Source organism: Homo sapiens, chromosome 8 (genome assembly GCF_000001405.40).
Source record: "Homo sapiens chromosome 8, GRCh38.p14 Primary Assembly".
In the NCBI taxonomy this organism is placed as follows: domain Eukaryota; kingdom Metazoa; phylum Chordata; class Mammalia; order Primates; family Hominidae; genus Homo; species Homo sapiens.
The window spans coordinates 91136036-91152236 of NC_000008.11; the positions used below are offsets into that span (position 1 = coordinate 91136036).

A 16201-nucleotide genomic window follows, 5' to 3' on the forward strand; every position below is an offset into this window, starting at 1 on the left:
CTTTTTGAAAATATTACTTTCTGGAGCATAAATTTTTATCCCTTGTAATTAATCCAAAGGTGACACTTTTGTTAGTCATTTTTAGGCCATAAACAATGAAAAATGCACTTTTTTCTCATTTGAAAATGAATTTTGACCTCATTTTATTTCAAATATGGAGAAACCGTTTGTCTTGGCAACTCCTAACTTTTGAGAAAGAAATGTCAGTTTTTCCTATTGCATTTTTATATCCAATTGAACATGCTTAAACATTCATGGTAATAATGAGAAGTCCATCTATCCAGAAGGTATTCAATGAATAGTTGTTGACCCATTAATTATTTTTCCTGATTTATCCCCTCTAAATTGAGGTTTCAGTCTTTTTTTACCTCCTAGAGCAATATTTTATACTGAAGGTAATTCAAATATAAAAAAATGAGTGTAAAGTCTATGTTTTAGAAAAAAGTATAGTTTTTAAATTGTGGCAAAATATACACAACATAAAATTTACCATTTTAATCATTTCTACTTGTATAGTCCACGGTACTAAGTACTTTCACATTGTTGCACAACCATCAGCATTATCCATCTCTAGAACCTGTTCATCTTCTCCAGCTGAAACTCTGTATCCATTCAACTCCAACTCCCCATTCCCTTTGTACACCTATTTTAGAAGTTCCTATAAATACTTTGAAATAAGATCTTTCCCCCCTTCATGGCAACCACATATCTACTATATATCTCTGAATTTGACTACTCTAGGTACTCTAGGTACCAGATAAGTGGAACCAGATATTTGTCCTTTTACCACTGACTTATTTCACTTAGTAAAATATGACTAACATTAATTTATCTTATACCATGTGTCAGAGTTTCTTTCCTTTTTAAGGCTGAATAATATTCAGTTGTATGTATATACCACATTTTGTCTATCCACAGGTATCTGCCCACCTGTGGGACCTTGGGCTGTTTTCTCATTTTGGCTATTACTGCAATGAGCATGGGTATACAAATATTTGTTCTTTATCTGCTTTCAGTTCCTCTGGGAATATCCTTAGATGAAATTGTTGAATCATATGGTAATTCTATGTTTAATTTTTTAAGGAATCACCACAGTGTTTCCAAAAATGTGTAGATTTGAATGTTTAGTAAAAATTGGATATTGTTAATATTGACCTTGAAAATGTGACATGGTTTTATTTACCCTCTGTGTCTTAATTTAACTCTCTATGTCCTGCGATGCCTTCTGGTGCCACTTCTTCTATGGTACCCCTGGTGCCACTGCTACTTCTATGGTATCTTCTGGTGCCACGTTTTCTACGGTATTTCTATGGTATGCTTGAGCAACATAATGGAGTAATTCATTTCAAGTCTTTCTTGCTTTTGGATGGTAAACTTCCAGAGAAAGAATACTCTTTTTTTCCTCTATACCTGCAGTGTCTTGAATTTTAACTCAATAAGTGTTTGTTAAATGAATAAATCTAACTGATGTTCTTAAACTTCATTTATTATTCACCTTTCACCTTCGTAGTCTGTTAATTGACCGTTTCTTCTATGAAGTGATTCTGTACTTAACAATTTTGATAAAACATAATTACTTAGGTCCCAATAATTTGGAGTAATTTTGACAGGTCTGAGTTGGTTTCATCTGTGTAGTACCTATTTCAGGAATTTCTATAAACACTCTCACATAAGATGATCTGCAAACTCATCTGAGCTTTGGTCCAACCATTTCAAATTATTTTGGTTCAACTGATTCAAAATCAAAGTTTCCCACATTAAAAATATGGCACAACTGGTGGACCTAGAGGAGAAATGACCGACTCTAGGTCACACAATGATTATCAGTGAAAGAGAGTAAGTTTCAAAATAATGGTAGAGAACATTCAAAACAAGCCATGCTTTTTGTGAAACACAGTAGTGTAGACATGAATAACATAGACTTTGGAGTCATATACACATGGATTTAAAGCATTAATTTCCTATTTTCTAAATTCGTAATCTCAAACAAGTTGCTTCATTTCTCAGAGTTGCTATTTCTTCATCTATATAACGACAATATTAAAACCACTAACCTCATAAGGTTGTTATGTCAAATAGTGATTATGAAGCATTTTGTGCATAGTTGGTTTCCAGGAATAGAAACTATTATATGTTGTGTATAAAATATATACCAATAATGAAATACTAATAAGTAATATATAATTATAGCAATCATCTACTCTCTACTGGTGATGATAGGAAGCATTAACCTTGTGAAGTACATTTTTAAAAACCTTTTTTAACTATGAGAATATTCAAACATATATAAAAACAGACAGAAAAGCAAAATAAAGCTCTGTGTACCCATTACTTTTAAGTGTACTCTTAACTCAAAGATTTGAAACTGCATTGTGCATAAGTGCCTTTGAATAGTTTATTTTACTGCCTTATAACTACTTTTTAAAATAGGTATTTATTTAAGAGTGTTTTGCTATTTTATGATTTAAATAAATTTGGTGTGCAATTTAGAAAATGCAATTTTTTTCAGAGCAGTATTTTTTTTTTTTTGAAATTCACATGGCATTTGAACATTTGAAACTGTATTTGCACTAGGACTTTTGTATACGAATATACATTAAATGTAAATTTACAGTAAAAAATTGGACTATTATAAATATTTGTTCATATGTGTTGGATCAAAAGAGTTTCTGTGTTATTTAGTTCCTAAGAAAAAATCTGGCATGACCACATAGTGAATTAATTGTTTCAGAAATGGCCAGATATGGTGGCTCACGGCTGCAATCCCAGCATTTCGGGAGGCTGTGGCGGGAGGATTGCTTTTGATTCCATGAGTTCAAGATCAGCCTGGACAACATGGTGAAACCCCTATCTCTACAAAACAAACAAACCACCAAAAAAATTAGCTGGGTTTAGTGGTACACCCTGTGGTCCCAGTTACTTGAGGTGAAAGTATCACTCAAGCCTGGGAGGTAGAGGTTGCAGTAAGCTGAGATCATACTCCAGCCTGGGCAACACAGTGAGACCCTGTCTTGAAAAAAAAAAAAAGAAATATCTTGGTTCTTTTATGAACATGTAGTCAGATCTGCTACAGAGAGACTTTAGTTTCTTTCCTTACCTCTTTTTTCCTTTCTTTTATTTTAACTTAAAAAAATAAAACTTAAAAATTTTGTAAGTTGTACAACTTCTGCATGTTTCTTAAAATGTGAAGCAAAACAAAAGTATGGAATAAAAATAAAAGTTTCGGCCGGGTGCAGTGGCTCACGCCTGTAATCCCAGCACTTTGGGAGGCCGAGGCGGGTGGATCACGAGGTCAGGAGATCGAGACCATCCTGGCTAACACAGTTAAACCCCATCTCTACTAAAAATACAAAAAAATTAGCAGGGCGTGGTGGCGGGTGCCTGCAGTCCCAGCTACTCCCAGCTAATTTTGTATTTTTAGTAGAGACGGAGTTTCTCCATGTTGGTCAGGCTGGTTGCGAACTCCTGACCTGAGGTGATCCGCCCACTTCGGCCCTCTCAAAGTGCTAGGATTACAGGCGTATGTACAGGAGAATGGTGTGAACCCGGGAGGCGGAGCTTGCAGTGAGCCGAGATTGCACCACTGCACTCCAGCCTGGGCGACAGAGTAAGACTCCGTCTCAAAAAAAGAAAGTTTCCGTTCCAGGACCTCTTCATGTGTGTTTTTAGAAAAGCCTGTTAAAACATTTTTTTCACACGATACTATGTCTGGATTGGTTTCATTATATTTAATTTCCCAGTATGATTTTTCTTTCTAAAAAAGTACCATCTGGCCAGGCGCGGTGGCTTACGCCTGTAATCCTAGCACTTTGAGAGGCCGAAGTGGGCGGATCACCTCAGGTCAGGAGTTCGCAACCAGCCTGACCAACATGGAGAAACTCCGTCTCTACTAAAAATACAAAATTAGCTGGGCGTGGTGGCTCATGCCTGTAATCTCAGTTACTCGGGAGGCTGAGGCCAGAGAATTGCTTGAACCCAGAAGGCAGAGGTTGCGGTGAGCCAACATCATTGCACCATTGCACTCCAGCTTCGGCAGCAAAAGCGAAACTCCGTCTCAAAAAAAAAAAAAAAAAAAAAGTACTATCCAAGTATTCTCCATAAGGCATTATCAATGTATCAATAGCAGAAAGATCAGCGAGAGAAAGCAAAACTCTGGGGGCTATTTTGATCTGATCTATCTATCATTGCACAATTTTAGAACATTCTCAGTTTTCTCACATACAATTTTTTGATACCTAATTCCTGTCTGAGACATACCAAATTATTTATTGTATTAGTTTGCAAGTGTCCTCTGCTTCTTGAATGAATGGGTATTAAGATTTAAGATGTTGTCTTCATTTATCCTTTTGTAAGTAGCATTTTTCTGGTAATTCATTCATTGTAGAAAATAAGTAAATAAGTATAGAAAGAGTAAAATGTAAGGTGTCTTTAAGTTTACCTTCCAGAGACTACACTTTATTGTTTTCTTCAAGAATCTCATTTTTATATTCTCATTAAAAAAATTCAATGTATACTGCATAAAGAAATACGTGTCTTGCTTTGTCATTTTCATTTAACATTATATATTAAGCACTTTCCTTAAATGAATATTCTTCAATATGTGATTTTTTTTTTTTTTTTTTTTTTTTTTTTTTTTGAGACGGAGTCTCGCTCTGTCGCCCAGGCTGGAGTGCAGTGGCGCGATCTCGGCTCACTGCAAGCTCCGCCTCCCGGGTTCACGCCATTCTCCTGCCTCAGCCTCCCAAGTAGCTGGGACTACAGGCGCCCGCCACTACGCCCGGCTAATTTTTTGTATTTTTAGTAGAGACGGGGTTTCACCGTTTTAGCCGGGATGGTCTCGATCTCCTGACCTCGTGATCCGCCCGCCTCGGCCTCCCAAAGTGCTGGGATTACAGGCGTGAGCCACCGCGCCCGGCCTCAATATGTGATTTTTAATCATTGGGTGTTCTTCTACCTTTTCTTTATCGTGTGTTCACTTTTTCTGACATTTTTATTTATTGCTGGAATTAGAATTGGATTTTGAATGAACAAGCCTTTGAGAACAAGGATGATCTGAAATAAAATGTCTTTTATTTGTATCTGTCTTTCAGAGAATAACATATCTGAAGTATGGCCTTTAGTGGACACTGGACAATTTATGGCAACACTGTCGGTTGTTCAGTTAGTGCAGGAAACAGTGATGCTTGTTTTATTAGTTTCCTGAGGCTGCTATAGCAAAATATCACAAACTGGGGCTTAAAGGACATGTCTTTGTTTTCTCTTCTTAGAAGGATACCAGTCCTTGGATTGTGGCCCACTCTAATCCATATGACCTCATTTTAACTAGTTACATCTGCAAAGACTCTGTTTCCAAATAAAGTCACATTCTGAGGTTCAGGGTGGATATGAATCTTGGAGGACACTATTTAACCCATTATACTTGATAGAACATTGAGTTTATTACTCTATTTGGCATCTGCAAGGGCAATTGATATAAACCTCCTTGATGAGGTTTATATGACTTTCCAATTCCATAAACAATTACTGAGTACCTTCTCTGTTGCCAAGCTCTCTTCTAATCTGGGGAAGTAAATGAAGAAATATGGATGTTGCTGTATAGAAACTTTGGAATTTGTGTTTGAAGAAATCTCTAAACATTGAAGTGGAACCTGGAGATATCATAAGAACAAGATAAATATGTGATTTTTAATGATGTACAGAAATTTAAAATGAGAAAAATCAAAGAAACTGGCATGAATTAGCTTGAACAAAGATGCAAGTCAGCTAGGTGGTAATTTCATTGTTGAGTTCAAAATAATAAGGGGAAAGTGACCTGTTGCCTTCATAACTTTTGATGATGGGGAAAGAAAAAACATTATTATTTGCTGCTGAAGGGTTTTGGATAGGCTATCATCGTGGGATTTCTGGGAAGAAAGGATTACTAATATCTTTCTTTAGGTCAGAAAACTCAGTCTATGAAGTAGTTGTGATTCAGTCTTTTCAACAGAAAAAAAAGTAAATTATTGAAATTTTATATTTCCTTTGAAACAGTTTTTATTTTAATCTTTTAGTCACAGGTCTTCTTTCTCTAGCTCCTCTTTCCCTCAGGAGCCCCGTTATTTTTCAAACTGCAATCATTTGAAGAAAAAGATGACCTGACAAAAGCAAGAAAAAGTTTTAATGATCATCACCAGGGAGCATCATGAGTTTTGTGTTTGATGTGAAGTTCATAACAAAATATCATATATAAAATATTGCAGACCAAATAGAAAACTTCACATTTAAATAAGCTCTTAGAATCCTCCGTTAGCAATCTATCTAACAACCTGTACTATTATGACTACTTTTCAAATTCACAAAAAGTTATCTTTCTGGATGAATACTTTGCTGTTATCTAAAAATTTGCAAGTTATCAAATCTATTTGTTATTGAATAATTCCTTGAAGAAGACAGATTTGGTATCATTATTCCTGTTTGGAGCTGAGGATATTGAGGCTCCAGAGTAGTTTGTCCGCAGCAGTGACCCTCAAACTTGAATGTGCATCAGAATCCCCTGGATGCCTTCTTAAAACCCAGAAGGCTAGGCCCTCCTTCTAGGATTTCTGAGTCAGTAGGCTGGGGATCCCACAGGTTTGCATTTCTGTTATGTTCTTTGGTAATGCTGATGCTGTAAGTCCAGGAACTACACTTGGAAAACCATTGGCCTAAATGATGGAACAGTGGCAGAGGTTGAACTTGCACTCAAGACTTTTGGCTACACTGTCAGGACTCCTTCTGCCTCTGAGGAATCCATTCTTTGTCCCAGGTTGGGGCAGTCTCTGTCATGCTATACAAATAAGGCATTTCTTTGAGCTCACTGGGAGTTTGGGTTCTGAGAATTTCACTGTGTCCTTGACTAAAATGATACTCAAGGAACATTCTTTGGACAATAGAATTCTTGTATACTCTGAAAAATATTTCACATAGAAACTAGGATTTTGGTATGTGAACACAAGGAATGCCTATATAGTTGGAGGCTGAGTTTTATATGTTGTTTAATTCGGTTAGCCTTACTTCTTTTTAGCCACACTGTGGATGTACTCGGTGCATATATGCCACGGACAAAACTTCTTAAACATTTATTCATCAGCCAATCTAAAATTGGAGAGATTTTTTAGCATGTGAATTTAACACTAAATTTTATTTTGGAGAAATTTGGGGAAGGCCAAATCTTTACCATGTTACTTTCGTTTCTGAGTTTTGTCTTTTTAAAGTTCACCCTTTGCCTTGGGTGGTTATAGTTTGGGAGTGAAACTCAAGTGTAGCTAAAACATTTACAAGGATACAAATAAATGTGACAACTTATGAGAAAGTGCTTTGCTAAGAGTAGACACTTAAGAAATGTGCTTAAAAAGATGTAAATTATACCCAATGCTACATTTTCCACAGTCACTGCTTTCTTTCAGTTTCAAATTCATGATTTAACATTCATGTGAATCTGTAGCTTCCATAAACACATTCTGTGTCAGAGTTAAGAATCTTAAGTATTTGTATATCCCTAAGGTTTGTAGGCACATACTGTTTTTATAAGAAAAAAAACATAAAGCGGGAAAGCCTCATACAATGTTGTCATGAGAAAAAGTATGCTTGGACTATTTATGGGAAATCATAGTTATAGCACCTATTCCGTTTCATCAATGCCCCTTTTTTCCTTCAAGAATTCTTTAGAGTTATCATAAATAAAATTTGAGAATACTGAAAGCAGTTTCCTCTTTTACAGTATGAGAAACACAGGAGGAAAAAAAAATGGAAGCAACTTTCCCAGAAATACAAATCATTTGAATAGTGAGGAGAAGGTTTGAATCCATTTTTCCCAAACAAAAATTAAATTTGCCTAGCTTAACAATGTACCCATTGTGTGACCTTGGAGAGGTAACTCCATTACTCTATGTCTCACTTTTTTCCTCTTTAAGTTGGGGATATTAATAACACTTGTATACATCACATTGTTAGGAAAGTGTCTCACATAACATTTGGTGGTCAGTAATGATAGAATGAATGAATAATTAAATGAGATAATGTATATGAATTCTTATTAGTGTTTGGCACATGACAGATATTGAATGTTATTTTCTTGTCATTTTAAGGTTTGGTCTGAGATACCTGCCCCTCAATCCACCCCAAATTTTGGGGTGTCTCTGAAGGCTTTCAAAGCCATGAGATCACCTGAATGGTTCTAATTCGTAACTGTTACTGTAACCAACTGATCTGTACCCAAGGGTGTACAAGGGTGGCTGGTTTCAGCAGTGCACTCTGCTTTCTATTCCCCATGTTGTCTTTGCCCCTGTTCCAGGTTATTTTCCTCTGCAGATTCCTTTACATTCTTTAGGCTTACCTTCCTTGGGCAACAAAACAGAACCAATAAACTATCTCCCTGAAGGGGGTCTCCTTTCCCTGGCTCCTTGCCTTTGGTTTTCTGTTTATTTCTGTCTTACCCTTTCCCTCTCCCTTGTGGCTCATTTGGTTTGTTTGCCAGACCAGATTCCTCTGGAAATAGGACCTCTCATTACTGAATTCCCTTTTTCTTAGACACTTCACTTAACTCGTTGCCTACTACTTATCCTGACGTCTCTTCTTTTCTTGGATATTTTTAATTTAAAAGGATTTCTCTTTTTATACCCAATGATGAATGATTTTGATCCACACCAGTCTAAGCATATCTTGCTATGGTGTCCTTGGTTCCAGACACATGCCTGATATCTAGCATGGTACATACCCTGGTTTACTGTCACTCTCTGTCTGTTACTTGTCTAATTCAAATACTACCGGTATCTTTTGTTAGTACATAAATATTTTTTGTGCTTAATACAAAATCAAGTGAAGAAAACCATTTTATTTTTGGATGATTCTCATTTCCAAATGAATTCATCTGCCTTCAATAGAATGATTTCCATATATGAGCAGTAACACAAATATGTGCACATACAGACAAGCATTCCTAGGGAGACCATTTAGTTTTGCATTAACAGAAATATTTCTGTGAAATTGATTGAACACTTGGAGAATGTCTATTTCAAATTTAAACATGTCCATGATCAAAAATGTCCTTAAGTGGTCCAGAAAGTGCAATACAATTGTGGGAAAGAAACTCCTTGGGAAAGTGAAATTGTGGTTTGCCTTGTATCAAAACTCCTATCAAAACTTTTGAAACTCTTTTGCAAGATGGTAGAAAATAGCCTAAAAGTTTAAAAGTGATACACAGGGAAAGGTCCATAAAGCTGTGGTCAAGAACATCCCTGAATATCTCCACAATATAGTGATTTCCTTGGAACTATCCACTTTGCTCAAATAGCCATGAGAAATTCCAGTTGGCTGCCTCATCCCCATTGTTGTTCTGCCTCTTTTGATTAGCAGCATTAGAGATCCACTTTATTCTTGTTCCCATATGAATAGTTTATTTTCTCTGTTTAATGTTAAGGAAAAGTATACCCTATTCTTGAAGCTCTTTAAATGCCTCTCTAAAATTTGACCTTGATTTTAAAATAGTATAATTTTCTTTGGTTGTCAGTGCTGCTTTCAGTGGCTCAGTTTATTAGGAGCCATACATTTAAAACAACATTCACTGACCTTTTAAAAAATGGGAAACAAGCCAATGCTATTCTAATGGAAACCCCTTGTGGGTTCTGTGGTTTTATGTAAGTGATGTAAGCTTAGCTAATATAGAATTAGTGAGTTCCAAAACTTGACTAAATGCTTTCCCTGTCACTACTTTTATGAGAATGAGATCATATTTTCTGCTGTTTCTTATATGGGGGTGGGTGAAGAAGAGGGTGTTGAATTATATGTTATTGCTTCTTTCACCATTGTAATTCTAAAATTTCATGGGGTAGACTTTTTGAAATGAAAAGCAGAGAGAAAAAATTATGAAATATTATCCTTGATGCAATGGTGATTTTGTTCAAATTCTTGTTTTAAAAATTGAGGGCCCAATTAAGTTAGGGAATACAACTATCTTTCTCTTTTTAGTTAACTTACATAATTTGAGTTCTGACTTTCTACTTCTATATGTGATTTTATTAGAATTAAAGATAGGCTGGTCCTGAATGCCTATAAAATGTAAGTGCTGCAGAGGACCCTGTTTCACATGGTATAGTGGTTGGTGAACAGCATTTCACCAACCACTATCGCTAGCTACCCTTGGAAATTTTATTCTTCTAACCAAGTACCTAATGAAAGTAATTCAGGAGATAAAGGGGATGCCTTGCTTACCTTCAAAATGGAGATCCTCAAATTTCAGCAACATTCACCTCTCATCTCTCTTGTTGAGAGGCCAGAAGGACAGGATCATAAAGTCAGAGAGCTGGAACTTCTGTGTTTTTAGTCTTGCAGTAAAAGTGGAGTTAAAATGATTTCAAAATCAGGGCCAATATTTTTGAGAAAGTAAACTTTAAAAAATTAAAAATATTATAAAGAGAGTCTGATTGAAATCAAATGTGGCTCTTGTACAGACTGTTTAAGCATTGATTTTCATTTAGATGATTTCTCTCTCCCTTACATCTCCAAGTAATCTCTATGGAGTTCGGGGTTTTTGTCCCTTTCACTGATGTATTCCAAGCTTATAACAGTGCTTGGCACAGAGTAGGCACCCAATAAATAATTACAGAAAGGATGGGTAGATGGATAGATTGATGGGTGGGTAGATATGGATTTTACATAACAAACATGATTGCTTTGCTCCTCTGAAAAATCAAAACTAATTTGTCACAATTAATAATAAAGTTGTTTTAAGGCAGTGGATTTCAACCAGGGAAGATTTAGCCCTCCCTCCATGTCCCAGGGATATTTGACAATGTCTGGAGATATTTTTGGTTGTGAAAACTGAGGAGTGATACTGCTGGCATCTAGTGAGTAGAAGCCAGAAATCCTGCTAAATGTTCTGTAATGCATAGGACAGTCCCCCCATAACAAAGTATTACCTGGCCCAAAATGTCCATGTTGAGATTGAGAAACTAGTTTACATTCCTACCAAGTTGATTTAAGGGATTGACTATTTCTTTGTGTTCTCCAGGCTTTAATCCTAATAAAATATATCTTTATCAAGTAGATTTTAGAGTCTATAAGAATCAGCAATATGCCTGTTAAAATGTTGATCCCTGGGCCCCATGCTCATATATTGTAAATTATTGCTAATAATGCTTTGGCTTTAAAGTTTATTTTTTTCTCATATGAATATAGCTATATTATATATAAACATATAATATATATTATATATAAACATATATTATATATAAACATATTATATATTATATATATTTTGATTCACGTTTACATGATATATCTATTTTCACTGCCTACTTTCAACCTTTTTATATCCTTATATTTTAGATGTATCTTTTATAAGTACCATATAATACTTCATTTAAAAAAATCCATCTGACTATTCTTTTTTTCTCTTTGTTTGAGACGAGGTCTCACTATTTTGCCCAGGCTGGTCTTGAACTCCTGAGCTTAAGCTATCTTCCCACTTCAGCCTCCTGAGTAGTTGGGACTGCAGGCATGTGCCACTTTGCCCAGCCTGCTGTGTATATTTAATTTGTTCTACTTGTTCTGTACTCCTTTTCTGTTTTTTCTTTTGAAATAATTGGATACTTCTTAATGACACATTTTAAAAAATCTTACGAAGTTTTATATCATTTTACTATTCCTATTTTAAAATTTATTTTATTTTAGGTTCTGGGGTACATGTGCAGAATGTGCAGGTTTGTTACATAGGTAAACCTGTGCCATGGTGGTTTGCTGTACCTATCAACCCATCACCTAGGTATTAAAACCTGCCTGCATTAGCTATTTGTTCTGATTTTCTCCCCACCTGGCCCCCCCAACAGGCCTTGGTGTGTATTGTTCCCTTCCCTGTGTCCATGTATTCTCATTGTTCAGCTCCCACATATGAGTGAGAACATGCGGTGTTTGGTTTTCTGTTCCTGGGTTAATTTGCTGAGTATGATGGCTTCCAGCTTCATCCATGTCCCTGCAAAGGACATGATCTCATGCCTTTTTATGGCTGCATACTATTCCATGGTGTATGTGTACCAATTTTTTTTATTATACTTTAAGTTTTAGGGTACATGTACACAACGTGCAGGTTAGTTACATATGTATACATGTGCCATGTTGGTGTGCTGCACCCATTAACTTGTCATTTAACATTAGGTATATCTCCTAATGCTATACCTCCCCGCTCCCCCCACCCCACATCAGGCCCCAGTGTGTGATGTTCCCCTTCCTGTGTCCATGTGTTCTCATTGTTCAATTCCCACCTATGAGTAAGAACATGCAGTGTTTGGTTTTTTGTCCTTGTGATAGTCTGCTGAGAATGATGGTTTCCAGCTTCATCCATGTCCCTACAAAGGACATGAACTCATCATTTTTTATGGCTGCATAGTATTCCATGGTGTATATGTGCCACATTTTCTTAATCCAGTCTATCATTGTTGGACATTTGGCTTGGTTCCAAGTCTTTGCTATCGTGAATAGTGCCGCAATAAACATACATGTGCATGTGTCTTTATAGCAGCATGATTTATAATCCTTTGGGTATATAACCAGTAATGGGATGGCTGGGTCAAATGGTATTTCTAGTTCTAGATCCCTGACGAATCACCACACTGACTTCCACAAGGGTTGAACTAGTTTACAGTCCCACCAACAGTGTAAAAGCGTTCCTATTTCTCCACATCCTCTCCAGCACCTGTTGTTTCCTGACTTTTTAATGATTGCCATTCTAACTGGTGTGAGATGTTATCTCATTGTGGTTTTGATTTGCATTTCTCTGATGGTCAGTGATGATGAGCATTTTTTCATGTGTCTTTTGGCGGCATAAATGTCTTCTTTTGAGAAATGTCTGTTCATATCGTTCACCCACTTTTTGATGGGGTTGTTTGTTTTTTTCTTGTAAATTTGTTTGAGTTCTTTGTAGATTCTGGATATTAGCCCTTTGTCAAATGAGTAGATTGCAAAAATTTTCTCCCATTTTGTAGGTTGCCTGTTCACTCTGATGGTACTTTGTTTTGCTGTGCAGAAGCTCTTTAGTTTAATTAGATCCCATTTGTCAATTTTGGCTTTTGTTGCCATTGCTTTTGGTGTTTTAGACATGGAGTCCTTGCCCATGCCCATGTCCTGAATGGTATTGCCTAGGTTTTCTTCTAGGGTTTTTATGGTTTTAGGTCTAACATTTAAGTCTTTAATCCATTCTTGAATTAATTTTTGTATAAGGTGTAAGGAAGGGATCCAGTTTCAGCTTTCTACATATGGCTAGCCAGTTTTCCCAGCACCATTTATTAAATAGGGAATCCTTTCTCCATTTCTTGTTTTTGTCAGGTTTGTCAAAGATCAGGTGGTTGTACATATGCGGCATTATTTCTGAGGGCTCTGTTCTGTTCCATTGGTCTATATCTCTGTTTTGGTACCAGTACCATGCTGTTTTGGTTACTGTAGCCTTGTAGTATAGTTTGAAGTCAGGTAGCGTGATGCCTCCAGCTTTGTTCTTTTGGTTTTGGATCGACTTGGCACTGTGGGCTCTTTTTTGGTTCCATATGAACTTTAAAGTAGTTTTTTCCAATTCTGTGAAGAAAGTCATTGTTAGCTTGATGGGGATGGCATTGAATCTATAAATTACCTTGGGCAGTATGGCCATTTTCATGATATTGATTCTTCCTACCCATGAGCATGGAATGTTCTTCCATTTGTTTGTATCCTCTTTTACTTCATTGAGCAGTGGTTTGTAGTTCTCCTTGAAGAGGTCCTTCACGTCCCTTGTAAGTTGGATTCCTAGGTATTTTATTCTCTTTGAAGCAGTTGTCAATGGGAGTTCACTCATGATTTGGCTCTCTGTTTGTCTATTATTGGTGTATAAGAATGCTGTGATGTTTGCACATTGATTTTGTATCCTGAGACTTTGCTGAAGTTGCCTATCAGCTTAAGGAGATTTTGGGCTGAGACAATGGGGTTTTCTAGATATATAATCATGTCATCTGCAAACAGGGACAATTTGACTTCCTCTTTTCCTAATTGAATACCCTTTATTTCCTTCTCCTGCCTGATTGCCCTGGCCAGAACTTCCAACACTATGTTGAATAGGAGTGGTGAGAGAGGGCATCCCTGTCTTGTGCCAATTTTCAAATGGAATGCTTCCAGTTTTTGCCCATTCAGTATGATATTGGCTGTGGGTTTGTCATAGATAGCTCTTATTATTTTGAGATACATCCCATCAATACCTAATTTATTGAGAGTTTTTAGCATGAAGCGTTGTTGAATTTTGTCAAAGGCCTTTTCTGCATCTATTGAGATAATCATGTGGTTTTTGTCATTGGTTCTGTTTATGTGCTGGATTACGTTTATTGATTTGCGTATATTGAACCAGCCTTGCATCCCAGAGATGAAGCCCATTTGATCATGGTGGATAAGCTTTTTGATGTGCTGCTGGATTCAGTTTGCCAGTATTTTATTGAGGATTTTTGCGTCAATGTTCATCAGGGATATTGGTCTAAAATTCTCTTTTTTTGTTGTGTCTCTGCCAGGCTTTGGTATCAGGATAATGCTGGCCTCATAAAATGAGTTAGGGAGGATTCTCTCTTTTTCTACTGATTGGAATAGTTTCAGAAGGAATGGTACCAGCTCCTCTTTGTACCTCTGGTAGAATTCGGCTGTGAATCCATCTGGTCCTGGATTTTTTTTGGTTGGTAAGCTATTAATTATTGCCTCAATTTCAGAGCCTGTTATTGGTCTATTCAGAGATTCAACTTCTTCCTGGTTTAGTCTTGGGAGAGTGTATGTGTCGAGGAATTTATCCATTTCTTCTAGACTTTCTAGTTTGTTTGCATAGAGGTGTTTATAGTATTCTCTGATGGTAGTTTGTATTTCTGTGGGATCGTTGGTGATATCCTCTTTATCATTTTTTATTGTGTCTGTTTCATTCTTCTCTCTTTTTTTCTTTATTAGTCTTGCTAGTGGTCTATCAATTTTGTTGATCTTTTCAAAAAACCAGCTCCTGGATTCATTGATTTTTTGAAGGGTTTTTTGTGTCTCTATTTCCTTCAGTTCTGCTCTGATCTTAGTTATTTCTTGCCTTCTGCTAGCTTTTGAATGTGTTTGCTCTTGCTTCTCTAGTTCTTTTAATTGTGATGTGAGGGTGTCAATTTTGGATCTTTCCTGCTTTGTCTTGTGGGCATTTAGTGCTATAAATTTCCCTCTACACAGTGCTTTGCATGTGTCCCAGAGATTCTGGTATGTTGTGTCTTTGTTCTCGGTGGTTTCAAAGAACATCTTTATTTCTGCCTTCGTTTCATTATGTACCCAGTAGTCATTCAGGAGCAGGTTGTTCCGTTTCCATGTAGTTGAGTGGTTTTGAGTGAGTTTCTTAATCCTGAGTTCTAGTTTGATTGCACTGTGGTCTGAGGGACAGTTTGTTATAATTTCTGTTCTTTTACATTTGCTGAGGAGTGCTTTACTTCCAACTATGTATGTACCACATTTTTTTAATCCAGTCTGTCATTGATGGGCATTTGGGTTTGTTCCAAGTCTTTGCTATTGTGAATAGTGCTGCAGTAAGCATATGTGTACATGTATCTTTATAATAGAATGATTTATATCCCTTTGGGTATTATACCCAGTAATGGGATTGCTGGGTCAAATGGTATTTCTGGTTCTAGATCATTGAGGAATCACCACACTGTCTTCCACAGTGGTTGAACTAATTTACATTCCCACCAACAGTGTAAAAGTGTTCTTATTTCTCTGCAGCCTTGCCAGGATCTGTTGTTTCTTGACTTTTTAATAATTGCCATTCTGACTTTTGTGGGATGGTATCTCATTGTGGTTTTAATTTGCATTTCTCTAATGATCAGTGATGTTGAGCTTTTTTTTTCATATGTTTCTTGGCCGCATAAATGTCTTCTTTTGAGAAGTGTGTTCGTGTCCTTTGCCCACTTTTTGATGTTTATTTTTCTTGCAAATTTGTTTAAGTTCCTTGTAAATTCTGAATATTAGACCTTTGTCAGATGGGTAGTTTGCAAAAATTTTCTCCTATTCTGTAGGTTGCCTGTTCGCTCTGGTGATAGTTTCTTTTGCTGTGCATACACTCTTTAATTAGATCCCATTTGTCTATTTTTGCTTTTGTTGCCATTGCTTTTGGTGATTTCATCATAATATCTTTGCGCATGCCTATTTTCTGAGTAGTATTGCCTGC

At 36.5% G+C, this 16201-nt stretch overlaps 1 protein-coding gene across 3 annotated transcripts in view; it reads left to right on the top strand.

Annotated features, from left to right (window-relative positions):
- Positions 1-16201, top strand: part of LRRC69 (leucine rich repeat containing 69) — a 116639-nt gene that overhangs the window by 33417 nt on the left and 67021 nt on the right. The window lies entirely within an intron of this gene.